Source organism: Homo sapiens, chromosome 4 (genome assembly GCF_000001405.40).
Source record: "Homo sapiens chromosome 4, GRCh38.p14 Primary Assembly".
Classification (NCBI taxonomy): Eukaryota; Metazoa; Chordata; class Mammalia; order Primates; family Hominidae; genus Homo; species Homo sapiens.
Window position 1 is genome coordinate 147,754,517 of NC_000004.12, and position 27,012 is coordinate 147,781,528.

Sequence of the window (27,012 nt, forward strand, 5' to 3'; positions counted from 1 at the left end):
AAGCTCAGTGGGGGTTGTTAGAAATTTAGTTCCTTTGGATGAATTTCTGTTGTCTTTCCTTGATGATAGTTTATATTCAACATACTGAATGTAATTGTATTCAATTTTTTTTTTTGTCTTTCACCAGCTAGAGAATTTGGGTGAAATTTTACTGTTACACATGTGCATTAGCACTGAATTTGTTTAACATAAAGCAAAATAACAGGAAAAAGACAAATATAAATGATTTTGCTACATAAGTTGTACATTCTTCTGTTAGAATTATAATGAAGTCCCTGAAGAAATATTAAAATCCGGCTGGGCGTGGTAGCTCACGTCTGTAATCCCAGCACTTTGGGAGGTGGAGGCGGCTGGATCACCTGAGGTCAGGAGCTCGAGACCAGCCTGACCAACATGGTGAAACCCTGTCTCTACTAAAAAATGCAAAAATTAGCGGACGCCTATAGTCCCAGCTACTTGAGAGGCTGAGGCAGGAGAATTGCTTGAACCCAGGAAATGGAGGTTGCAGTGAACCGAGACTGCGCAGTTGCACTACAGTCTGGGCGACAAGAGTGAAACTCCGTCTCAAAAAAAAAAAAAAATTCTTTCAAAATGACTGCTTTAAAAACATTCCAAACAATAAGGATATAATAAAAGCAAACTTATTATTTAAGTAAAACCAAAGATGTAACATTTGAAGTTTTTGTTATTTTAAGAACAAAAATATCATTTTGTTCTCATTAAAATTTTTACTTATTTTTACTTGTTAAATTTTCTCTTACATAACCAGTCTTTTGTGATCAACTCAGTCTGGGCGTTCTGTGTTCATGGCATTTCTTCCCAGTTAATTCATTCTAGAAAACTGCAAGGTGTTTTGTTCCATCTGACTGTTTGTAAACAGGAAGGGACCCTAGCTACTCGGGAGGCTGAGGCAGGAGAATCGCTTGAACTCAGGAGGCGGAGGTTGCGGTGAGCCGAGATCACGCCATTGCACTCCAGCCTGGGCAACAAGAGTGAAACTCCGTCTCAAAAAAAGGGAAAGAAAAAAAAATACCAGTTCCATGTTATCAAGAAGAAAGAGAGGGCTGTTTTGGAAAACACTAACATCATTGGCCTTTTCTTTGGCGAGCTGCTGGAATATTTTAGGAAGTAGCTGTACTTTTGCTCTTATAAACACAGTTAAATAGATACTGCCTCTTGTCCTTCTCTTGCCCTTATATAGTGTAGGTGATATTTTTCTATTTGGCTCTTTTAGAAGCTGGACTATCACGAAAGAAGGTGGGGTGTGGGTGTGTGTGAGTGGTTGTGGGTGTGTGTGTGTAGTGCATTATGAGTCAGCCTCTGTGGCTGTTTGCTGTGTATTTTGTCCTTGTTTTGTATTATTTCACATATGTGTTGAGGAGCAATGCATCAGTAATGAATGTAACAGAAGAGCTGCATGTAACAGAATAGCCAGTTATCAACTGGCTTTTAGACCTTGACCCTGTTGGTAATTTTTTTTTTCTGTCACATAATAAGTCAATAGTAGGTGGTTGCTGGCTAGTTGTCAGTGGTGAGGATTCTAAAAATTTCTTGCCTTTTTCCTCATGGTTGCAAGATGGCCTAGTCATTACACCCACCCACTTACTAGGAGGCAAAAAAAAAAAAAAAGAAAAAAAAGAAAGGGAGGATCTGTATCCAAGGCTTTCCCAGGACTCTCCAGTCAGCTTCTGCTAATACCTCATGGGCCGCAGTTCTTAATTGCTCTCCCTAGCCCCAAGTAAGTCTGGGAAAAATTTGTTTGTGGTCCAGCCCTTGTTGTAGAGGAAGGTGTGGGTGGTGGGGGGAGTATAAAATATTGGAATGGCTGTTGAATAAACCATTTCTGGATCTTCTAAAAACAGTTACACACTCTAGAGTGGGCATCTCAGGAGTGTTTCTCCATTAACTTCAGTTAATCAGCAGGTCTTTGATGAGCACTGTTAGTATGAACTATACCATAGTCCCCCTTATCCGTGGTTTCAGTTACCCATGATCTGAAAATAGTACATGAAAAATTCCAGAAATAATTCATGAGTTTTAAATTGTGTGCTGTTCTGAGTAGTGTGATGGAATCATGTGCCATCCTGCTCCATCCCACCTGGGATGTGAATCATCCCTTTGTCCAGGGTATCCACACTGTATGGTTGTATGTATAGGAAGAAATAGTGTATATAAGGTTTACAGTGCTATTCATGGTTTTAGGCATTCACTGGGGATCTTGGAATATATCCTCCCTGGATAAGGGGGGACCACTATATTGTTATTGGTCTTAGGGAGTTAGAGGGAGAAATGCAAATGTGTAATGTATTGTCTTATTAGAATTTACAGTCTGGTTATGGGAATACAACACAGAAGGTTGTGTAATTGTTTTTTTTTTTTTCATCAGATTATAAGAAGAGGGAAGGGCATTCATGAATGCCTGGTATAATGGAAAAGGCTCACCTTGAGGAGAGGGGCCTTGGTTGGTCTAGGCTGGTGGCAGTGCAGTTGCAGAGAGAGTGAGAGCGAGAGAGAGAGAGAAATGAATGATGCCAGAGGGAACCTGGGCTATAGTGGCTTCTTTAAATTTACGGAAAAATATAAATCAAAGATGATAATCTTTTCAGCTTAGGAGATGAGGCAAACATTGGATATCAGAACCTGAAAGTTAATGGGAACACAGGACAGTCTAGCCTTTTTTTTTTTTTTTTTTTTTTGAGACAGAGTCTTGCTTTGTGGCCCAGGCTGGAGTGCAGTGGTGCCATCTGGGCTCACTGCAACCTCTGCCTCCCGTGTTCAAGCAATTCCCCTGCCTCAGCCTCCCGAAAGCTGGGACTACAGGCGTATGCCGCCATGCCCAGCTAATTTCTTTTGTATTTTAGTGGAGATGGGGTTTCACAGTGTTGCCCAGGCTGGTCTTGAACTCCTGAGCTCAGGCAATCTGCCCGCCTCGGCCTTCCAAAGTGCTCGGATTACAGGTGTGAGCCACCGCGCCTGGCTGGGGCAGTGTAGCTTTGAGAGAAGGCTTGGTGACCCAGCTGGTCCTCCCAGTTTTGCTGCCATGTCCATCATCTAGATTTCCCTTTACCAGCTTTCCATCTGCTGTAGCATTGACAACTTCCATCCGTTCATAGCCTCTGCTTCCTCTGAACATTGGCTTACTCACGGGCCTCTACGGTGAGTGTCCTCAGCTTCACCTTCCACGACTGCACACCTGGGTACTTAACCTGTTCTTCAGTCACCTTCCTAAGAGAATCTGGTTGGCCCAGCTAATTACCATTGTCCTTGTTTCGGAAGAGGCTGTCAGGCCTGGCTCACGCTGGTCATTGGCCAACCTGTCTGTTCCCTTCCCTGGGATCTGGTGCCCATCCCTGTCCAGTCACCTGTGATACAGAACAGGTGTGCCCGAGACTGCTACCTCACCAGGGCCAGGGAGAAGAGGGGCAGGCACCATACAAATACAAGCCTGGTACGTGTGCCATAGCTTGCTTTGTGCACCCCTATTGGTTTTATAAACGTTACATTAGATAAAGGAACTGTTTTCCACCTCTATAAAGAATTTGGTGAGACCAGCCTGGCCAACATGGAGAAACCCCGTCCATACTGAAAATACAAAAATTAGCTGGGCGTGGTAGCACATGCCTATAATCCTAGCTACTTGGGAGGCTGAGGCAGGAGAATTGCTTGAACCCGGGACGTGGAGGTTGTGGTGAGCCAAGATTGCGCCATTGCACTGCAGCCTGGGCAACAAGAGCGAAACTTCATCTCAAAAAAAAAAAAAAAGATTTTGATGTAGTTATGTATGAATAAACCTAAACCTTTGGCTAATTTTTTTGATATTTTAATTCTTTTAGCAGCTTATTGAGATATAATTCACACACCACACAGTTCATCCATTTAAAATGTATAATCAATGGCTTTTAGTGTAGTCACAGATTAGTGCAGCCATCACCACAGTCAATTTTAGAACATATTCATCACCCCAGAAAGAAAGCCTGTCCCCTTTTGGCTAATACTTTTTGATGCTGATGATAACAGGTCCATGCCTCAGTGTGTTGCTCAGGGAGGCCTTTCTGACTGTGCTGTTTAAATGTGCATTCCTTCTCCATTCTTTGTCCCCTGTGCCTGCCTATTTTTCAGGCAGGTTGTTAGAATACAGGTGGTGTATTTTTTTTTAATTTATTATTATTATTATTTTTTAGGCTGAGTGTGGTGGCTCAGGCCTGTGATCCCAGCACTTTGGGAGGCCGAGGCAGGAGGATCACTTGAGGTCAGGAGTTCGAGACCAGCGTGGCCAGCATGGTGAAACCCGGTCTCTACTAAAAATACAAAAATTAGTTGGGGGTGGTGGTGCGTGCCTGTAGTCCCAGCTACTTGGGAGGCTGAGACGTGAGAATTCCTTGTTCCTGGGAGGAGGAGGTTGCGGTGAGCAGAGATCGTGCCACTGCACTCCGGTCTGGGTAACAGACTCTGTCTCAAAAAAAAAAAAAAAAAAACCGAAAACAGGTGGTATATTTTTTATGCATCTACTTTTTGTCTATTTTCTTCAATGCAAGGTTCATGGAGGCAGAGGTTTTTGTCTTAGAATAAGTAACACATGGTAGATACAAAGACAATTTGCTGAACAAATGGTTTATTACTTTGCTGATAGTAATAAACTATTGTAATAAAATAGTGATAACACTGTGTTACTTTGTTAAACTTCCACTTACCAGTTTTATCTGAGAACTCCGTATGTTGTCTCATTGAAGAACTGTTATCTCCATTTTACTCTTAGAGAAACAGAGGCTCAGAGGTGAAATAACTTTCCCAAACCAGGAAACTGCCAGAATGAATTTATAAGTCATTGTTGTCTATGAATACAAATATAATGCAAGGCACATATATAATTTAAAATTTTCTAGTAACCCCATTAAAAAATTAAAAAACAGGTGAAGGTGTAATGGCATGTGCCTGTAGTACCAGTTACTTGGGAGGCTGAGGTGGGAGAATCCCTTTAGGGCAGGAGTTCGAGGCTGTAGTTTGCTATGTTTGTGCCTGTGAGTAGCCACCACACTCCTGCCTGGGTAGCATAGTGATACACCGCCCCCCCCCCCCTTTAAAAAGGAAACAGGTGACATTAATTTTAATATTTTACTTAATCTGGCGTATCCAAAATATTATTTCAACGTGTAACCAGCATAAAAATGATTGAGATATTTTGCATGCTCTTTTTTTCAGATAGTCTTTGGACTTCACTGTGTATTTAATTTAATTTGATTAATTTATTTTGAGACAGGGTCTCACCCTGTCGCCCAGGCTGGAATGCAGTGGTGGGATCTCAGCTCACCACAACCCTCGCCTTCCAGGCTCAAGTGATTCTCCTGCCTCAGCCTCCTGAGTAGCGGGGATTACAGGAGCCTGCCACCATGCCTGGCTAATTTTTGTATTTTTTAGTAGAGACGGTGTTTCACCATGTTGGCCAGGCTGATCTCAGACTCCTGACCTCAGGTGATCCACCCGCCTCAGCCTCCCAAAGTGCTGGAATTATAGGCATGAGACACTGGGCCTGGCCTTTTACTGTGTATTTTATACATATAGTACAAATCCATTCAGCCCAGGTACCTTTCAGTGCCCACTAGCCCCATGGTCTTGCATCTGTAACCTTGCTGCTTCCCTGTATTCAGGCTGTCACTCTTCCATTTTGGGAGGATAATACGCAGTATCTACACCTGACATTTGTGGAGGCTGACCATTTACAAAAAGCTTAGGTTTACACACTCAGCTCATTAGATTTTCACAATAACTGAAGGAGGTAAGTGCGTCGGGTTACAATATCCAGTTAGTATAGAAATGTTTACAGATGACTATGTCAATATCTAGAGAGCTTAACCAGCTTGTCCAGATTTATCAGGTTTCTACTTGGCAACGTCAGGGTTTGAATCCAGCAGCTCCCGTGAGTCCACATCACTGTGTGCTGCTTGTGGACAGAGCGGCAGATTGGGGAGAGGCAGAGTCTGGGTGGGAAGGTAGAAGGGGAGGGGCCATACTTTTCTAAGTGTGGGGTAGTCCTTCAACATAAAGGGTTTGTCTGTCCCCCAAGTCCATACCTGGTGTTCTGATGGACTTACTCTGTTGGACATACACAGAGATTCCTTGTGCATGATTTTAGCCTTGGCTCATTTTGACCTCTCCCATTTTTCCCTCTTGTTTTGAACATTGCCCTTTATTCCCTACCCTAATTCATGTCTTATTTCTTCTTTTAGGCTCATTCAGGCTGGTTTCCCTAAGTCCCAGTTGAAGGGGGGCTATGTTAGTCTCCTCTGGGAGGGATAGGAAAACTGCTCTGCTGTGAATGGCCGGTGGGGCTTTCAGTGGCTGAGAGATGGTAGTTCCTGGGTGGCTGCCAGCCTGCCAGACTTGGGCAAACTATGTGTATTGGAACAAAAGGCTGAGTGTGAAATTAATAGCTCTCAACTGAGAACTGTAAAAGAGCTGGTTGTAGGTAAAAAGAGGCAGTTTATTTTGTAAGTTAGAGTTAACTTTTTTTTTTTTTTTTTGACACAGAGTCTTGCTCTGTTGCCCAGGCTGGAGTGCAGTGGTGTGATCATAACCCACTGCTGCGTCCACCTTCCAGGCTCAAGCAATCCTCCTGCCTCAGCCTCCCGAGTAGTTGGGATTACAGGCATGCACCACCATGCCCAGCTGATTTTTAAATTTTTTGTAGAGACAGGGTCTTGCTATGTTACCCATTCTGGTCTTGAACTCCTGGCCCCAAGCAATCCTCCCTCCTTGACCTCTGAACACTCTAGGATTACAGGTGTGAGCCACTGCACCCGGCGTAATCTCTATATAGAGTTAAATTTGTTTAAAATTTTAAAAATCTTTTCTAGGTTTTTCTCCTTTTAGTAGTAATCGCTGTACTGACCACAAGTGGGTTCTGTGTATGTTTCACATTTGTATGTGGCTTCTTTGGTACTTTTGGGTGGCGCCAACAGCATTTGATTTCAACCTTGTGGGTCTGAAGCATTATTTTAGTGGTTCCTCTCTGATTCTCAAAACTTGATATTTGAATTTATCTCTTTCTCTTTTCCACAGGTGAAGGAGCAGTCTTTCAGGAAAGGAAGGAATGTTTTTGTTGAGTTAGCAATTATATCAGGCATTTAAATTTACTCTCCATAAAATATAATTGCCTGGAATTCTGTAACCAAATAACAGCAAACAGAATGAATTGGGAAATCTGCCCATTTGGAATATACGGGCTAGTTTACCTTTCATAGTAGTAGAGTTTTCTTAAGATTTTGTGCTGATTGGCACTAAGTGACTTTGAAGGTGATTTTAAAGACGGCATTACTAGGAAAAACGAAGGAGAAAAAGTTAAGTGAATTAAATGAGTAGCCACTTGCTTTGGACTTTATGTAGCAGTAACAGCAGCAACAGCATCTTTTCTTGTTCATTCTCTTGACTCTACTTTTCATGCTTACACCCAGATCAGAAACTGCCAGATTCTCCATTAGAAATTCATTCCCTCTTTTTTTATTTTTATTTTTTGAGACAGAGTCTTGCTCTGTCACCCAGGCTGGAGTGCAGTGGCACAATCTCAGCTCATCGCAACCTCTGCCTCCTAAGTTCAAGCTATTCTCCTGCTTCAGCCTCCCGAGTAGCTGGGACCATAGGCATGCGCCACCATGCCCAGCTAACTTTTGTATTTTTAGTAGAGATCTGGTTTCACCATGTTGGCTGGGCTTGTCTTGAACCCCTGGCCTCAAGCAGTCTGCCTTCCTCAGCCTCTCAAAGTGCTGGGATTACAGGTGGGAGCCACTGCGTCCTGCCCAGAAATTCATTCCTTTTGAAATCTAGGTATGCCACAAATTAATGTTATTTCTAACTGGTTATACTCTTTAGCATTGGTAGACCTAAAGATAATTAGTTTTAGAAGGTATGGAATTATAGCCTAGTGGAGGTTTAACAAAAGGAAAACAAGAGTTGATTGGGTAGGTGAACTAGCAAAAAAAAGATAATTGCTTATTTATTTATTTATTTATTTTTATTTATTTATTTATTTATTTTTTTTGAGACGGAGTCTTGTTCTGTCTCCCAGGCTGGAGTGCAGTGGCGCAATCTCGGCTCCTGCAAGCTCTGCCTCCCGGGTTCACGCCATTCTCCTGCCTCAGCCTCCCAAGTAGCTGGGACTACAGGTGCCTGCCACCACGCCCGGCTAATTTTTTTTGTATTTTTAGTAGAGATGGGTTTCACCGTGCTAGCCAGGCTGGTCTCGATCTCCTGACCTTGTGATCCACCTGCCTCAGCCTCCCAAAGTGCTGGGATTACAGGTGTGAGCCACCACACCTGGCCGCTTTTTTATTTTTTAACTTGACTAAGTGGACTGTGATGGGGAGTGGGGTAGATTGTTGCTCATCAGAACATCTGTCGCCCTTATCTACTCTGGATTCCATTTGCTAGGGGTAATGAAGGATAACAAAAGACTTTTATGGTTAAGGAGACAGGACATAAACTTTGACAGGACATAAACATAAGGAAAGTAAAAGCAGAATGAGCTAATTATATAATATGAAAACAGAAAACCCATAATAAAACTGTATAAGATTTATTGCAAGATGGCTACTAAAGAACAGTGGTTCTCAACTTTCAGTATGTATTAGAATCACTTGAGAAACTTAAATACTAATGCCTTTAAGAAAATGACTGTTTTTTTGTTATATTTTAATTGGTCTGATAATCTGTAAGTTTAGCTATTGTTAAACATTATCTGAGATGTACTAAAACAAGTTTGCTGGAATTAATGATAATGGTGGTGTTTGTAGTAGGAGTAGATAATAGTTTTTTTTTTTTTTTTTGAGACAGTCTCGCTCTGTCGCCAGGCTGGAGTGCAGTGGCGCAATCTCAGCTCACTGCAACCTCCGCCTCCTGGGTTCAAGCGATTCTCCTGCCTCAGCCTCTCGAGTAGCTGGGACTATAGGCATGTGCCACCATACCCAGCTAATTTTTGTGTTTTTAGTAGAGATGGGGTTTCACCATGTTGGACAGGATGGTCTCGATCTCCTGACCTTGTGATCCGCCTGCCCTGACCTCCCAAAGTGTTGGGATTACAGGTGTGAGCCACTGCGCCTGGCCTGGCCTGGCCTGGCTGAGTGATTTTATTCTGCCTGCTTTGGGATGAAGGCTGGGCATTGGTTTGTTTGAGAACCCTGCAGGTAATTCTAACATGTAGTCAGGATTGAGAATAATTTTTATAGACAGATGGTGATTCCTTTTTTTTTTTTTTTTTTTTTTTTTAAAAACAGAGTTTTGCTGTGTTGCCCAGGCTGGGGTGCAGTGGCACCATCACGGCTCACTGCAGCCTCAACTTTCTGGGCTCAGGTGATTCTTGTGCCTCAGCCTCCTGAGTAGCTGGGATTACAGGCGTACGCCGCCATGCCTGGCTAATTTCTGTATTTTGAGTAGAGACAGGGTTTCACCATGCTGGCCAGGCTGGTCTCAAACTCCTGACCTCGGGTGATCTGCCTGCCTCGGCCTCCTAAAGTCCTGGGATTGGGATTACATGGTGAACCACCATGCCTGGCCCAGACAGTGATTCTTGATCTTTAGTGGGAATCAAAATCAGCTGAATAGAGTTGGATAGGTTTCCTGGAAGGTAGGACGTGAGCAAGTTTCTGAGTAATGTATAAAGCTTGTGAGAAAGCTGGGTGGGAAAATACAAGGTCTGTTTGGGGTATTGATCGAGCTAATTTTGGTGGGGGAGTAATGTGAGATGAGGGTGGGAAAGTAGCCTTCAATACCACTTTGAGTTTAGATTTCATATTTTTAGACTTGGAGATAGGTGAGGCTGGAGACCCTAGTCTGAGCTTGCCAGGAGAGAGGTGGGTCAGTAAACAGCACCTGAAGACCAGGCACACCTAACACTATAGGAAGTGCCTGTTCTGTGGGAGGTGACTTTGAAGTGTGGCTGATCTCCCATCGGCTCCCATGCAGTAATAGTGACTTTGAGGTAAAAAAAAAAAACCTCCAAATCTGGAATCAATTAAAATTCAGCAAACATTTATTTTTTTATTTTTTGAGATAGAGTCTCACTCTGTTGCCAAGGGTGGAGTGCAGTGGCGTGATCTCAACTCCCTGCAACCTCCGCCTCTTGGGTTCAAGGGATTCTCGTGCCTCAGCCTCCCAAGTAGCTGGGGTTTATAGGCGTGCACCACCATGCCCAGCTGACTTTTGTATTTTTAGTAGAGACGGAGTTTCGCTATGTTACCCAGGCTGGTCTTGAACTCCTGGCCTCAAGTGATCCACGTGCCTCGGCCTCCCAAAGCGCTGGGATTAGAGGCATGAGCCACTGCACCCAGCCCAGTAAACATTTATTAAGTGTGTTTTATATGACAGATGTGCTGAGGAGCTGTAAGTTTATTTTTCAGTAACATGCTGAGAGTGTTTTTAAAAGTAATATTTTGGGCCATGGAACCCTTTGAGAAATAAAAGTAGGAGCTGCTTTTCCACAAAAATGCCCAAGTACAAGTAATCTTGCATAAGTTTTAGGGCTTTTGGATACTCTGAAGTCAACTCATAACCTCTGTAGGTGTTCGTAGATTCCAAGTTAATTTTTAGAATAGACTGTGGACTAATGATGGACCATGTTGGACAGGGAAATGGGGAAATCTAGGAGTCCACGCTATTTTCAGTTTTTCTTGTTAGGCATAATTTATCATTGTGAGTCATTTAAGATCTATTTAGCAAATATTTTTGAATGAAGTTTACATAATTCACAGCCAGGTGTTTCCAATATCATACCTGGAAATATAAAGTACACATTAGAACAGGGATGGGTGTGTGTGCTGTGGTGTGTGTGTGTGTGGGGGGGGGGGTGTGAGTGTGTGTATTTCAATGTGCCACGCCCATTTTCATTCCTGACAGACTGCAAAGTAATGGGTGTGTCTATTGTGTTACGTCTTCTGATTAAAACACAAGGTGGGATATAACTCAGCAATTCTGAGCATTTGCTGAAGAATGCTAGTGCTGATAGAAGTTTCATGAGGTTGGGTGTGGTGGCTCATGCCTGTAATCACAGCACTTTGGGAGGCCAAGGTGGGCAGATCACTTGAGGTCAGGAGTTCGAGACAGGCCTGACCAACATGGTCAAAGCCTGTCTTTACAAAAAATACAAAAATTAGCTGGGTGTGGTGGCACATGCCTGTTGTCCGAGCTACTCGGGAGGCTGAGGTGGGAGGATTGCTTGAACCCAGGAATTTGAGGCTGCAGTGAGCCATGATTGCACAACTGCACTCCAGCCTGGGCGACACGATGAGACCCTGTCTCGATAAAAACAAAAGAAGTTTCATGCAAACAGTATCTGAAGTCAGAATTCTTCTATAGCTCATGACATGTTCTATCCCATTTTGGAGATACACAATGCTGTGATTACAGTTATCCCTCCATATCCTCGGGGGATTAGTTCCAGGAACCCCTTGAATACCCAAATCTGCAGATGCTCTCAAGTCCCTTATGAAATGGTAGTATTTATTGGCTGGGTGCGGTACCTGTAATCCCAGCACTTTGGTAGTCTGAGGCCGGTGGATCACTTGAGGTCAGGAGTTTGAGACCAGCCTGGCCAACATGGTGAAACCCTGTCTTTACTGGAAAAAAAATAAATAAATAAATTAGCCAGGTGTGGTGGTGGGTGTCTGTAGTCCCAGCTACTCAGGAGCCTGAGGCAGGAGAATCGCTTGACCCTGGGAGGCAGAGGTTGCAGCGAGCTGAGATCATGCCACTGCCCTCCAGCCTGGGCGACAGAGCAAGACTCCATCTGAGGTGGGTAAAAAAGGTCGTATTTGCATATAACCCACCCATGTCCTCCCATATGCTTTAAATCATCTCTACATTACTTACGATACTTAATACAATGTAAATGCTATGTAAATAGTTATATTGTATTGTTCAGGGAATATAAGAAGAAAAAAGTCAGTATGTAAGCAACCATCAGTTTTTTCCCTCAAATTGTTTTGATTGCAGTCAGTTGAATCCATGGATGCAGAACTCATGGATATGGAGGGCTGTCTGTATAACTGTGTGTGGGTGTGTGTGGGTGTGTGTGTATATATACACATACATATATGTATGTGTGTATATGTGTATGTATACACATATATATACGTATATACACACCCACCCACACACACCCACACACACTGCACTCCAGCCTGGGCGATAGAGCAAGACTCCATCTCAAAAAATATATATAATATAAATATATATTATATACGTAACTATATTCATGCATATATATTTTGAGCTCATATATATTCATACATATATTCACATATATATATATATATATATATATATATATATATATATATTTATTTATTTATTTATTTATTTTATGATGGAGTCTTGCTCTGTCGCCCAGGCTGGAGTGAGTGCAGTAGTGTGATCTTGGCTCACTGCATCCTCCGCCTCCCAGATTCAAGCGATTCTCCTGCCTCAGCCTCCAAAGTAGCTGGGATTACAGGCGCCTGCCACCACGCCCAGATAAGTTTTTTGTATTTCTAGTAGAGATGGGGTTTCTCCATGTTGGCCAGGCTGATCTCAAACTCTTGACCTCAAGCAATCCACCCACTTTGGCCGCCCAAAGTGCTGGGATTACAGGTGTGAGCCACCGCGCCCAGTCTACCTGTATGTTAAAGCAAATCCAGCAGCAAAGAAATCTGTTCAGCTTTGTTTAAACCCATCAGTTCCTAAGTTTATTTAACCAGGGCCTCTCTTCTCAAAGCATTCTTTTCTTTCTCAAAGGACAAAGATTGGTAAATACTAGTTTAACTTCTAATTAAAGTTGGCTGGGTGAAACATAAGTGAAGCCTTAATATGTGTGGGCTGCAGAATTTATCTTTTTTTTTTTTTAATCCACATGGCAAAAATCATATAGGGGTTCTGAGTGGTAACTTAGTTTCCCTGCATGTCTAGTATCAGAATTTTGAAAAACATTGTGAGGACTGAGAGTTACCTAAATAATAACTTTAAAAAATAGCTGGTTTTGCTCCTATAAAGAAGACTGAGCCTATATTAAAAGATTATCAAGAATCGTCTTGAAAATCTAGGCATAAGTGTGCACCTGTAGTCCCAGTTACTTGGGAGGCTGAGGTAGGAGGATCGCTTGAGTCTAGGAGTTCGAGGCTGTAGGGTGCCATGGTCATACCTGTGAATAGCCACTGCACTCCACTCTGGGCAATATAATGAGATTACATACCTGAAAAAATAAAACATGTTAGTTTTCTTCTAACCTGTGGCTTTTGTCCAACTGGAGTCCTTTCCCTAGCAAAAAGGCAAAATTGAAAATAATTGTGATGGCAGTGGAGGACCAGTGAATAACATATTTGTATTATCAAGGGAATAGCTCTTAAATAACAGGACAGACACATTAGAGCCCTTTAGAAAGGGAGCAAAGATATGAGATTATCAAATTATGAAATGTGTTATATATGAATATACTAGGGAGTACCTTTCCCTGCACCCATGGTGCAGTATAAGTCTTCAGGCATGAAACATATATTTGTTAATGGACTATTCCGGGATGACTTTTAAATATTTACACTGAATAAATACCTGTATCTGGTTGGCCCATGTCCTAGCTGCTGAATATTCAGGAAAGAATAAGGGATGGCTCCTGACCTTGAGAAGCTTAGATTTCTGGTGAAAGTAGCTTTCTCAGTGCAATTATACTGTGAGTGGCATCTTCTTCCTCTCTGGGCCCTCCCCCTGGTTCCTGCTCCCCACTACTATTGCCACAGCTGAGTGTCAGGCTGAATGAATCATGGAGCTATCTGAGGATGGCAGTACTTACATTACTTTATTACGTTGTAAAATACTTCCTGATAAGAACGTACTAGTGGTTTTTTGAGTGTCTGGAAACATTGTAAACCTGTCAAATAATTCTAAAGATTCCGCTGTTAACATCAGCTTAAAGATTTGTTAGTAACGTAACTTGCCAAATTCCTTGCCCCATCACAGTGGTCTCCCTAATTAAAAAAAAAAAGTAATTAAAGGTTGAGATTTAATGAATTTTACTTACTAAATTTTCTCTGAAGCCAGAGACTTGAACATAATGAAATAATTGTTCATTTTTCAAAACCATAATATTTTTGTCCTTTTAAAGTAGAAATGGATGGTAGAAATTGTAGAAGCTGAATAAATTTGGTGACAACTTTGTTTTTGAGTTTGTTTAAACATTTAAGTGCTTAAAAATGGGGGCAAATTTTCTTGTCTTTTTTTTTTTTTTTGGCAGGGAATCTTGCTCTGTCACCCAGACTGGAGTGCAGTGGTGCCATCTCTGTTCACTGCAGCCTCCGCCTCCTGGGTTCAAGCGATTCTTCTTCCTCAGACTCCCAAGTAGCTGGGATTACAGGCACACACTACTATACCTGGCTAATTTTGTATTTTTAGTGGAGACAGGGTTTCACCATGTTGGCCAGGCTGGTTTTGAACTCCTGACTTCAAGTGATCTGCCTGCCTCGGCCTCCCAAAGTGCTGGGATTACAGGTGTGAGCCACTGCGTCCAGCCTTCATTCAGCATATGAAAATTAAAAAAACATAAAAAAGGGCAGAAATGAATTATGCAGCATGATTTCATTATTGCTCTCAGGAACTGGATAATGCTTTAAGGTAGGACTAATCTGTTTCAATGATGAGACATTTTCTCACTATACATAGCAGTTCTGGTCATTAGTGAAATTACTCAGTAAATGTTGAAGAAGAAGGAAAAATGAAGGTATCCATCATGATCCTAATTACCACCAATGAAGGTAATTAGGGAAATTACTCAGTAAATGTTGTTGAGGAAGAAGGAAAAATGAAGGTATCCATCCATAACTCAAGATGATCCCCTATTTAGAGAATAAGTATACATTCTACAGGCATCTAAGGTTTTCATGTTTCTCTGTTCTGTTTGGTTTTAATGGTATAATATACATTAAAAATTGTGCATCAAGGATTTTATTTCAGGTATGTGCTGCATTGCTTCTCTTTATGTAATAAATTCCTTGTTAACTGACATTGTTTCCCGGGGATTTCCGTATGTTAACAAGTTCTTTCTACAGAGATGATTAATACTTACGGTGATCACCCTGAGGTTCCACAAAACCCTCTTGAATCATCAGAGATGACATTCTACTCATTGTAACTTTAATGCCATGTATTTATTGTCTTTTAATTGTTTTGAAAGTTGGGCATCTGTTTGAGATATTTTTTTCTTTTGGTTATAATGACCCGTTTCCTGAACTTTTCAGATAAGAAACTATAGGATACTATCATGGAACCTGTTTTCTCCTGTACCCTGGTTTTAAAACCAGTGGCTGGAATTAAGACATGTGTTGAGGGAGGAAAAGGGAAAAGAGAGGAGCCTGAAGGGACTGCCACTTTTCTCTAGCAGTGGAATAAGGAGTACTTCATTGAGCTAAGAATAATTAATGTGGAGTGTTGAAAGATCATTCTGTATTTTATGCACATGTTCCAGATAACAGCATAAGGACCTATGAAAAGCAAGAAAAAAGTTTTCTGGGGCTGTCATCTTTGATCACATAGAGATGGAGTGTGTGTTCATACACCAGCCATTCCTGTCCGTCCTTGCCACCACTGACTTAGACCAGGTGACACATGGGCCTTAGTATGAATGTTGTAATTGGAGAATCTGCCTCAATTTTGAGCTCAACTCCAGTCTGTAGACTTGCTGATACAGTAGTATTTGTCTATCACAGCACTTAGAAATGATAGCCTGTGGTCAGGTGCCAGTGGTTCACGCCTGTCTGTAATCCCAGCACTTTGGGAGGATCATTGGAGGTCAGGAGTTAGACACCAGCCTGGCCAACATGGTGAAACCCTGTCTCTACTAAAAATGGAAAAATTAGCTGGGCATGGTGGTGGGCGCCTGTAATCCCAGCTACTTGGGAGGCTGAGGCATGAGAATTGCTTGAACCCGGGAGGCGGAGATTGCAGTGAGCTGAGATTGTGCTACTGCACTCCAGCCTGGGCAATAGAGCGAGACTTGATCTCAAAGAAATGGTAGCCTGTATCACATTGTTTTATGGCTATATCTCTGTATCCTGTATTTAACTTATAGTCATGTGGTGTTATGAAAAAAAGTAATCAGTATATATTGAGCACTTCTTTGTACCAAGCTAAGTAATTTGGAAAGACTTGTTTGTATTTTGACCTGGATTCAGATTCCACCTCTGCTACATACTGGCTTCATGACCTCAGTCAAGTTACTTAGCCCATCTGAGCTTCGGTGTTTGTTTTTTTCTGTATGACAGTTGTATGATTCTGCTAGGACAGCCATAGCCGAGTACCACAGACTGGGCAGCTTAAATAGCAGTCTTATTTTCTAGTAATTCTGGAGGCTAGAAGTCTGAGATCAAGGTGTTGGCAGGATTGGTTTCCTCTGAGGCACCTCTCCTTGGCTTGTAGGTGGCTCTTGTCACATGGTCTTACCTCTGTGCCTGTATCTTTGTCCTAATCTTCTTTTCTTTTAAGGAGACCAGTAATACTGGATTAGGGCCCACCCTAATGACCTCATTTTAACTTAATTACCTCCTTAAAGACCCTATGTTCCCTGTAATCCTAGCACTTTGGGAGGCCCAGGTTGGAAGATCACTTAAGCCCAGGAGTTTGAGACCAGCCTGGGCAACAAGGCGAGACCCCTGTCTCTGTTTAAACAGAAAAAAAGAATCCCGTGTCTGAATACAGTCACATTCTGGGGGGTAAGGAATTCAACATGAGTACTTGAGGGACATGTCCAGCCGCCTGTAACAGCAGTGAAAATGACATGTGCTCAAGTGGGTTTATTTTACTTTTTAATTTTTGTGGGTACACAGTAGGTATATATATTTGTGGGTTATCTGTAATATTTTGATACAGGCATGCAATGTGTAATAATTACATCAGGGTAAATAGGGTATCTATCACCTGAGGCATTTTTGTTGTTGTTCTTGCAAACAAATATACTCTTTTATTTTAAAATGTATGATTATTTTTGACTATAGTCACCCTGTTGTGCCAGCAAATACTAGGTGGCACAATTTTTTTGTACCCATTCAAGTGTTGTGTTGTTGTGAGGATTAAATGAAATAGTATATGCATGTGAGCTTAGTGCATGCATAATGTTAGCTTTCTCCTTGCTAGAGCGGGGTAGAATCTTGTTTTCTTTATATTCTATCCAAGTATAAACAGTAAATAAATGTCAGTGAAATTGTGTTTTAAGTATGTAGGTGCCCCTTTTCATAATTCTCATCTTCCTCGCCTCCACTCTTGCAACTAAATTAGTATTTTTTTCTTTTCTTGAGATGGAGTCTTGCCTTGTCACCAGGCTGTAGTGCAGTGGTGCTATCTCGGCTCACTGCAACCTCCACCTCCCAGGTTCTAGCGATTTTCCTGCCTCAGCCTCCTGAATAGCTGGGACAACAGGCGTGCGCCACCACGCCCAGCTAATTTTTGTATTTTTAGTAGAGGTTGGGTTTCACCATGTTGGGCAGGATGGTCTTGATCTCTTGACCTCGGGATCTGCCCTCCTCGGCCTCCTAAAGTGCTGGGATTACAGGCGTGAGCAACCGCGCCAGGCCCTAAATGAGTAATTTAATGCTAATTTAAGGGGATCTCTCCTGAGAAGTTCTCTCTACTTCTGCTCTCTGCGCACTGGGACGTGCCATCTCCACCTTTAAACTGCGCTAGGCCCTTGTTCCCTTCCCAGTTGGCAGGATTATCTGAGACTTCTCTAGATAAGAGCAGTGGACTTCAGCTCCCTCTCCCTAGGTTCCGTGTTTCCACCTGGCGGTAGTGTGTATCTGCCAGTTGACACTTTACATCACACAGTTTGTGATTTTTAGGTCTGCTCTGCCTTTCTCCTCTCTCCTCTCTGCAGTTTTTTATCTTTTTTTTAAGCCACAGTTCTACAGACAGATGGGAAGTTTAGAGCAAGGTAGGATAGGCGAGTGAGAAAGCAACATGAGAAAAATGAGTATAGGCTTATTGACTTAATGTTCTAGCTCAGACTTGTACCACAGGCCTGTGCCTTGTGGCGAGTGAACTGTAATTCCTCTGAGGATGTCTCTCTTGAATGTTTGACAAGGCATTAGCAATCATCTGTCGCCCAGGGAATTCCAAACAAAAACAGATGAGTTTAAAATCCTAGGGTATAAACGGCCACAGAATTGTTTAACTTGTTGACTTCTAGGGGAAAATATGTATTCTACAAATGTTATTACAGAGTTTTTACAGGCATTTTTATTATTAATGATGGGAAGCTTCCTGGAGCATTCTCTTAAGTCTAGTGGGGTTACTAAATGTAGTTTTCCAACTGGAGCTTGGTTTCCTGAAAGCTATTCTTGGTGGGGTGGATGAGTGCAGCTGTCGTATCTCTTAGTATTTCAGTTTGAGTCATTGGGTGGGCGGAACTGATTAGAATTCCAAAAGCAATACATATAGGAGTTAGGTGGAACTCTTTTGGAATTAAGTAGGAAAGATTTTGACGGAACTCCTGCATTCCAGAGTTCAGTGGTAAAAAGAACACTTTATGTACAGAGTATTTGGGTAAATGTCTTCTGCATTTTGCTTTAGTTTTTTCTTTGTTGGTAGAAGGGACACTTTATATTAAGAAGCTGTTACAATGTATTGTCAAGATAGAGTTATTTGAAAATATTTAAAAATAGCAGATTTCCCTTCTAAACATGCTGACTTCTTGTAGGTTAATGTGACGTTACTTTCATTAATGTACATATGTATGTATATATTATCATGTCTTCTTTTAAACACTTTACAGAGCTTTATAGTAAGTTCACCCAGTTCATCACAAGTTAGAATTTTGCTGCATCCTATATGCCTCACGGGAAGAGACATTATCTTGTGGAAAGTGGCTTTTGTGCTAATAAATAAACATCCCTTGGAATGTTACCCTCCATAGCAAAGGGGCCATGGAAGGCTCTGTGTTTTAGGATTACAGCTGCCCAGAGACAGCTTGGGAAACAGTGTTATGTTTTACAGCATCTATTAGAAATCAACTCGATGTACACTTAAATATTGTATTCTGAGTTATAACACAGCAAACTGACATTGTAATGTTTTCCAATATGTGATTTTCATTGTTGCCATGATGTCATAAGGATTTAAAAACAGTTATCTGTTTTTCGTGGGCAGAACTTAAAACAGTGTTAAAAAGCATGCACTCTGTGTACCAAAAGCCTTAAAGTGGAATGATAGGGAATCCCTATGGGGTAAAGAGAAGATTCTTGATTCTCTACCTTGGTTCTTTAGAATGTGAGTCAATACATTAAGAACCTGGACTGCTCTGAAACAGAGGCACATTTGAGAGCTCCTGGAAACCCCTTTATAGGATTATTTCCTTGTCTTTGTTCTTTAGTCCTTGATTTGTTGTCAAGTGAAGCTTGAGATATGTCTTGCAGCCATTTGAGAAGCAGCACATCTGGTTAGAAGCAGAGACTGGGGAACCTGATTGCCTGGGTGAGTCATTCCTGGCTCTGCCACTCCAGCTTTGTGATCTCAGGCAAGTTACCTCTCTCTGCCCCAGTTTCCTCAGCTGTAAAATGGGATAATAATAATATTCATAAGATAGTTGTGATAATGAAATGAGTTAATAAATGTAAGGCAATTTAGGATAGTGCCTGGCACATAGTTAGCCCTGTATAAAAATGTTGACTCTTATTATCTTGGTACATGTTAAATTCCTATATTTGACCATGTTCAGACCAAGTTGATATCCACTTCCATTTGTTCCACATTCCTGACCTAATTTGTCTTGGGGTCTCCAGCCAAAATCTAAGATTCCCCAGGCTAGGCAAGCATGAACTCTTGTTCTTAGTGGAATCTGTGTGGCAGAATTTATTTCTGCAGGTATCCAATGTTGTTGGATGGGTTTGGTTTGCCTGTAAGAGTGTGCAGGTGGAAAACATGACCTGGGTTTGTGTCTGTAGGGTTTAAAGTATGTGTTTAGGACAAGGGTTATATAAGGACAATTTTGAAGTCAAAGTTTTAATCTCTTTTTCTTCCCCTCAGGTTTCTTTATTCTATAACATATTTACTTATTTATTATAACCTTTAGGGCTCAGCCTCTTTATTTCCTGTGACTTTGTTTATTTCATGAGAGGGTGACCACCCAGGATTTACAAAGCTTCTTGTGTGTTGTGGAAGATAGTATAAAATTCAAATAATGCTTTTACCTGAGCACTAGTGTGTGTTTCGTTTCTTCCTTGAACTTGCTTAAAGAGGTAAGCAAGATTACCTCTTGGGGCAAAGATTCTTGGCAGAGATGAGAAGAACATTTTGTCATTGACAGAGTCTCAACAGGACCCCCAGCTGACATAGAAACACTTGTTTTGCTGTCTTCTCCATGCTGATCCTTTGCCACAGCCCTTTCCTCCTTGATGTATTTTTTTTTTTTTTTGAGACGGAGTTTCGCCCTTTTGTCCAGGTTGGAGTGCAGTGGCATGATCTGGGCTCACTGCAACCTCTGTCTTCCAGTTTCAAGTGATTCTACTGCCTCAGGAGTACTCTACTTCTGAGTAGCTGGGATTATAGGCTCTCGCCACCACGCCTGGCTAATTTTTGTATTTTTAGTAGAGACGGGGTTTCACCATGTTGGCCAGGCTGGTCTTGAACTCCTGACCTCGTGATCCACTCGCCTCGGCCCCCCAAAGTGCTGGGATTACAGGCGTGAGCCACCGCACCGGCCTGATGGTCATTAAGTGCCCTCAGCATTCTCACTCCTGGAGTCCAGGCCTAAAGCTTGCATCCCTCCTCCTGGCCAGTCCCCAGCCTTTAGAAATAAATAGGCTTTAAATGAGTTCTGCTGTTTGCTGTTCTGCCCTAGGCTGAGGCTAATGGAGGTGGTCTGTCTGCATGAGCAGAGCTGTGTGTGAGAGGCTGCTAGGAGAAAGCAATACCTGTTGTCTTAGGGGCCAGCTTCAGGGGCCAGTGACAGTTAAGACTCTTCCTCAGAGCTGCATTAGGGGCCTATCAAGCCTTGCTCTCACATATGCAGAATAAGCACCTTGTAGCCTGGCCTGGTAGGAGAAAGGTGATTATTGTCAGTACCCCTGGTCCTTGTTTCCTTTTCACCCAGAAGGCAGAGTGGGTATATGGAAAGATCACAGGCTTTTTGGCTACGCTGACCTGGTTTTGAATTCTGGCTCTGCCACTCAGCCTATTAGTACAAATAAATAATGCACACTGAGTCTTAGTTTCCTCCTCCCTAGGCATGGGGGCTCTAAATCCTTTTGCACAGAATTATGGTATAAAACAGCATGTATGCAGCACATCTGGATAGTGGCAGGCTCTGATGATGATAATAATATCACTAATACTGATAGAATGCTTACTATATACCAGATATTGTCATGAGATATAATGTATGTTATTTGACCCTTCCCACAACAACATCTCCGTTTTACACACTAGGAAACTGAGGCATAGAAAAGTTCCGTAAGCTGGCTATGATGGCACCGAGCACAAAGCCCAGATTTAAATCCAGGCTCCGAAAAGTTAGCTCCACAGTTTTTCAGATGGAGAATTTTTTGAGATTTCTAAGACTTTTGATAATATAAAATACCACTACTTGCAATCATTTATGGCCTCCTCGTAATCATTAACTTGTAGCTGGTGTATTTATCTTGTGTAGACCTGCTAGTGGCAACAGATACAACCTACTGCTAATGAGGAAATTGCCCTTTTGCGAATGAATGATGGAAAAAAAAATTCTAAGACGGAGTCTTGCTCTGTCGCCCAGGCTGGAGTGCAGTGGTGTGATCTCGGCTCACTGCAACCTCTGCCTCCTGGGTTCAAGCAATTCTCCTGCCTCAGACTCCTGAGTAGCTGGAATTACAGGAACGCGTCACCACACCCAGCTAATTTTTGTATTTTTAGTAGAGATGTGGTTTTACCATGTTGGCCAGGCTGGTCTCGAAAGGCTGATCTCAAGTGATCCACCCACCTTGGCCTCCCAAAGTGCCAGGATTACAGGCATGAGCTACCGTGCCCAGCCTGAGTGATAGAATTTTAATACTTGTTCTGGTTCAATGTGAAGCATATTTCTCCCTTCAGAGACTTACCTGTGGGGCTCCCCCAAGACAGCAAGCTGACTAGAAATCATTGTTCTAGAACTTTTGATAAATGTGCACAAGAGAGACTCTCCTATTCCCTTTGTTTCCTTGCCCATGTGACTTGAAGCTCTGCTGCTTCTGTTGGGTGAAGGTTTGATAGGGAACAGCTGCCTCGCTCATGGGGCAGCATTGGGAGCTTAGTGCACTGGGACTTGTATCGCAGCATGGACTTCACCTTGCCTGTTGGAGGCTGAGACAGCAAAATGCAGTTCGTCCAGATGCTGTGAAGAGTTTCGAGGACTTTCGTTAGGACGATAGTACTATGGTAAAAGCTTTGGGGTGGGCTCTGTCCTACGAGAGAGCGTGTCTTTCCTTCCTGGTGGCCTGCAGTGACATTGACGCTCTGGAGATAAGTGGCTATATTCATCACTGATCTGAGCAACCTATGACTGGGCGTGTCCTGGCAGCAGAAAATAACTGCTATGCTGATAGCTGTTACAGTCAGTTTTCTTCTTGGACATAAATTTACATTAATGTTAAACTGTTTTAAGGTGCATATGCATGATTTGCGTTTCAGCTATGTATCTCTGGCCTTTTACCATTAGGAAATTTGGTTTTCTGTCTTTGCTAATTGAACTAGAGTCTGTGTGGCTGGATAGAATCGTCTGGGTAGGGTGTGATTTTCTTTTTTTTTTTTTTTAGACGGAGTCTCACTCTGTCACCCAGGCTGGAGTGCAGTGGCGCGATTTCGGCTCACTGCAAGCTCCACCTCCCGGGTTCACGCCATTCTCCTGACTCAGCCTCCCTAGTAGCTGGGACTACAGGCACCCGCCACCATGCCTGGCTAATTTTTTTGTATTTTTTGGGTAGAGATGGGGTTTCACTGTGTTAGCCAGGATGGTCTCCATCTCATGACCTCCTGATCTGCCTGCCTCCCAGAGTGCTGGGATTACAGGCGTGAGCCACCACACCTGGCCGGGTAGGGTGTAATTTCCAAAGTTGACCTCACGTTGAACCTAAGGCTTAAAGATATAACCTTCCTGTCAGACGGTCAGATCTCTTAACACTGGATCACACTGACTGACCTTTAAGGGTGACTCATGTCTGTGTCATTTCCAGCAGCATCTTTAGTATACCTCTGGAGGGATAGTTTCCTTCTCTAAGTAGTAAAAGGTGAACCAGGAGGTGTTGGGGGAGTGGACTCTGCTTTTCATTTCTTTGAATAATATACATGAAATTATACATTGTGGTCCTTATTGTGCCATCAATTTTGTGTTTTTAATAATCCAAGTTTCTAAAGACACTCTTTCCTATAGATGGGGAGATAAAACTTGAGGAATTGGAATCCTCATGCTAGAAAGGCACGTTGCAGGTCCAGCCAGTGTGTAGTTACTGTTCATTAGTCTATGCATGGCACTCAACTAGATGACATGAGGATCCAGACAAGTCTTGCTTTCTGCCTTCAAGTTGCTTATACTTTAGGTGGAGGTATCAGTGATGTAAAAACTACATGGGTTTGTGACAGGGGAGATCCTGCTAGAAGTGTCGGTTTAGCGCTGAGAGGAGCAAAATGATTTGAAATAGATGGCATTTTTTCATGCCTGCTCAGACAGGATTTTTGCATGTGTGTGAATTTCCTCACCTTTGAAAGAGTGGGTGCTGCCTGTTGTATGATAGATGTCTGACATAAAATGCCTCTTTTTGCCCCTCATATCACGTGGCCTAGTGTAATTGGGGGGTTATTCTGGGAAAACAATTAGATATGCATTGTGTTTACAGTGTGCTACAACTCTTTAACCTGGGACATAACTTACCGAGATCTGCCATGACATGAGCCGCTTTCTCACAGTCCTGTTGGAGACCTGCCTGCCAAGGGCACAGAGCATTAAATGGTGGGCAAAAGTTATGCTAACTGAAGTCTGTTTTGTCTTAGGGTCTTTCACAGCCCTTTTTCATATTTCAGTTTTGTTAAAGCCCTAGAGCAGGGATGAGAAATTTGTAGTAAATATGCACGTGTTCTCTCCCTCATACCCCAAGAAGCTGCTCATAGGGGTGTTGCTAATCAAAATGTCCTATTCCTGCCTGGGTATAGCCTTAGAGTATTTCTTAACACATGATTCCTGGATGTCGCTCCTTTTTGCTCCAAACTGGCACATTTTATAAAATCTGTTTGTAATCTCCTTTGCAGTGTTATCCTCTTGCTCCATTTCATTTTAATAAGTGTTGAGTGAGTGGTACAGGGAATGAATTCTGTTGGAGGCCAAAAAATAAGAACACTTAGAATGACCAGTAAAGAGTTTATGGTGGAAGGACTTAAACTTTAATTTGAAGGGTAGATAGGATTTAGGTAGGTGGCGGGGAGGAAGCTGTCCTGTGAACTAAGGTACTGAAAAGGAAAGTAGAAATCATGACGTGGGAATAGCGAATATGTGTTTGGTAGATGTGGAGGGTTTCTTCCGGGCAGTGGTTCCCAGGGTTTGTGTGTATCAGTCATCTGCTGGACTGCATCTTCAGTTTCCATTTCAGTAGGTCCTGTGGTAGCGCCCTGGAATTTGCATTTCTAGCAGGTTCCCAGGTGATGCTGATGTTGCTGGTTCAGGGGCTGCACGTGAGAACCACTGCTGTGGGGAGCATGTAAGCTGCGGCCAGAGGAGTCATGCTGGAGCAGAGGTGGAGGGTAGGACAGCCTGGCACCCACCTCCAGGGACCACTCTTGGCAGGTGTGCACTGCGTTGTGACTTGTATGAAGCAGTGGCCCTGGGCCCAGGGATCTTGAGTACCAGCCTAAGGAGCTGGCACTCTCTTTAGGCAGTGGGAAGCCATTGACAAATTTTGATCAGGAGAATATTATTGGCATCTCCTTTCAGTTAATTTGGTAGATGGGGAAGGGTCCTGAGGGGGGAAAGCAAGCTGTAGCATAGTGCAGTGTCCCCCAGATGGATTATCTCAGGAGTGCATTTGGGAGAGAGAATTGGAAGGCTGGATGTTCAGTGAGGAAGGTAAGGAAGAGAGAAGAATGCAAAGGTGACCCAACATTTCCTTCAGTTTGGGAGTCTGGGGAGTGGTGATCACATTGACAGAAAGGGGAAGTCAGAGCAAGAGCACAAATGATCAGTTACTTTAAAACTGAGTTTAAGTTATTTTCTTCCAAAGATGATTGCCTATCCTGTTTTCAGAAGGGTCTATGAATGTACCATGCCTTTTGTTTTGTCTGTAATGTTTAAGCTTTTCATGATTCTAAATATGTAATCTGTTGACCCTGAAATTTCCTCTTATTCTGAGGTTTAAATGGAAGAATGTTGTTTAAAAATGCACTAAGCCATTTCACTGTAATTTTCCCTAGACACTTACACCCTTATAGTCTTGCCCGAGTATGAGTGGGACAATGTCACTTTTGCTCTTCGTACATAAGCCTTGTTACATGGGATTGCAGTATCTTTAATTTTTCTGGAAGTTACTAATTTCTAATTATCTGAACATTATGAACACTTACAGATTTGTTTATTTCAGTTTTCCCCTCATTTTCAAAGTAATATGTGCTCATTGTAGAAAAGTTGGAACATAATTATAAAATTAAAAATCTGTGAGCTACCCATAAATTACTCCTTTGATGGCTGCACTCGTTTCACTTCCCCTTTTCTGTGGCTGTGGGTGGATCTGGGAGCAGAGCTGGTCCCGTGTCTGGATCAGGGCCGAGGCTCAGCATGCCAGTGTGTGGAGTTAGGTGACAGATTCTGCCCTACCTCTCCTCTCCTACCCAGTATCTAGCTACACCCCAACTTTGCATGCGGTCACATTACTGGGAGTGACAGTAGCCCCGCTAAGGGTGAAACAAAATGGTACCATAGTGGAGGAGGGAGCCCGGTCAGCAGGCTTGAAGGAAAGAGGGCAGTGTTTATAGAGGTGATGAAATGCTGTGCTCAGCTTGGTCTCATTTGCGTGTCTTTTTGAGACTTTAGGGCCTTGGGAAGAAGGAGACTAGGAAAAAAAGACTGAACTGTATTATCAGTGCAGGGAGCAGGCAGCCCTGTTGTGGGATTCCCCTCTTCTCCTTTGCATGGAGAGGGACTTGAGAAGGGGAAGTCACTTGCCTATCCAGAGAGAAGGAAATACCCAGGTCATAACAAGCCTGCCTCATCTTGTGGGTGGTATAAGCAGGGCAGCAGCCATGGGGTGACAGAAAAGGCAAGTAGTAACAGAACTTGAGACACAGCAGGGTGAGCAGGTACCTAAAGGAGTGCTGCCGGCATGGCATCCTCTGAGAGCAAGTCCACCTAGGGTGGACTGGGCCAAGGGAAGATGCCTCACTAGGCTGGTATCATCAATTTTGTGTGGGTTAAGCCATTTGTCCTCCACCTCCCACTTTTGGGAGAATGAGAGAAGACGCTCCAGAGAATGAGAGAAGACGCAAGGGCTCAGATTTGCATTTGATGGTGGGAAACTTAACCCTATAGATTTAGGGAGTAACTGTTAGTGACCTAACCTAGGACTACTGGCGGGGCCGGGCAAGGTGATTCACGCCTGTAATACCAGCATTTCGGGAGGCTGAGGCGGGCGGATCACGAGGTCAAGAGATCGAGACCATTCTGGCTAACATGGTGAAACCCCGTCTCTACTAAAAAATACAAAATTTAGCTGTGCCTGTAGTCCCAGCTACTCAAGAGGCTGAGGCAGGAGAATCACTTGAACCCGGGAGGTGGGGGTTGCAGTGAGCTAAGATTGTGCCAGAAACTATTGGGGGATAGGTAGGTGTGGCAACCGTTTAATTTTTGACCAAACTGGGACATGATTTCATATTTACATTGGGCTGGACCTGGCAAGCCAGGATGTAGGCTCACCCTACATATGGGGAATATGCAAGTCATATATACACATTTAAAAATACGGGGAGCTACTTTTACATCTTAAATACCGCCTTGTCAAGACCCTCAACTATGTTCATACTATGACA

At 42.8% G+C, this 27,012-nt stretch overlaps 1 protein-coding gene across 3 annotated transcripts in view, besides 3 other annotated features; it reads left to right on the forward strand.

Moving 5' to 3' along the window:
* The window catches only part of ARHGAP10 (Rho GTPase activating protein 10), a 340,689-nt gene that overhangs the window by 22,429 nt on the left and 291,248 nt on the right, over nucleotides 1-27,012 (forward strand). The gene's annotated exons all lie outside the window — the stretch shown is intronic.
* Nucleotides 24,391-24,630: an enhancer, noted in NCBI's record as "active region_22007". NCBI's record gives its function as "activates an Ori minimal core promoter by ATAC-STARR-seq in GM12878 lymphoblastoid cells {active_cell/tissue: GM12878}" and the evidence as "EXISTENCE:reporter gene assay evidence [ECO:0000049][PMID:35858748]".
* Nucleotides 25,913-26,052: an enhancer, noted in NCBI's record as "active region_22008". NCBI's record gives its function as "activates an Ori minimal core promoter by ATAC-STARR-seq in GM12878 lymphoblastoid cells {active_cell/tissue: GM12878}" and the evidence as "EXISTENCE:reporter gene assay evidence [ECO:0000049][PMID:35858748]".
* Nucleotides 26,383-26,432: an enhancer, noted in NCBI's record as "active region_22009". NCBI's record gives its function as "activates an Ori minimal core promoter by ATAC-STARR-seq in GM12878 lymphoblastoid cells {active_cell/tissue: GM12878}" and the evidence as "EXISTENCE:reporter gene assay evidence [ECO:0000049][PMID:35858748]".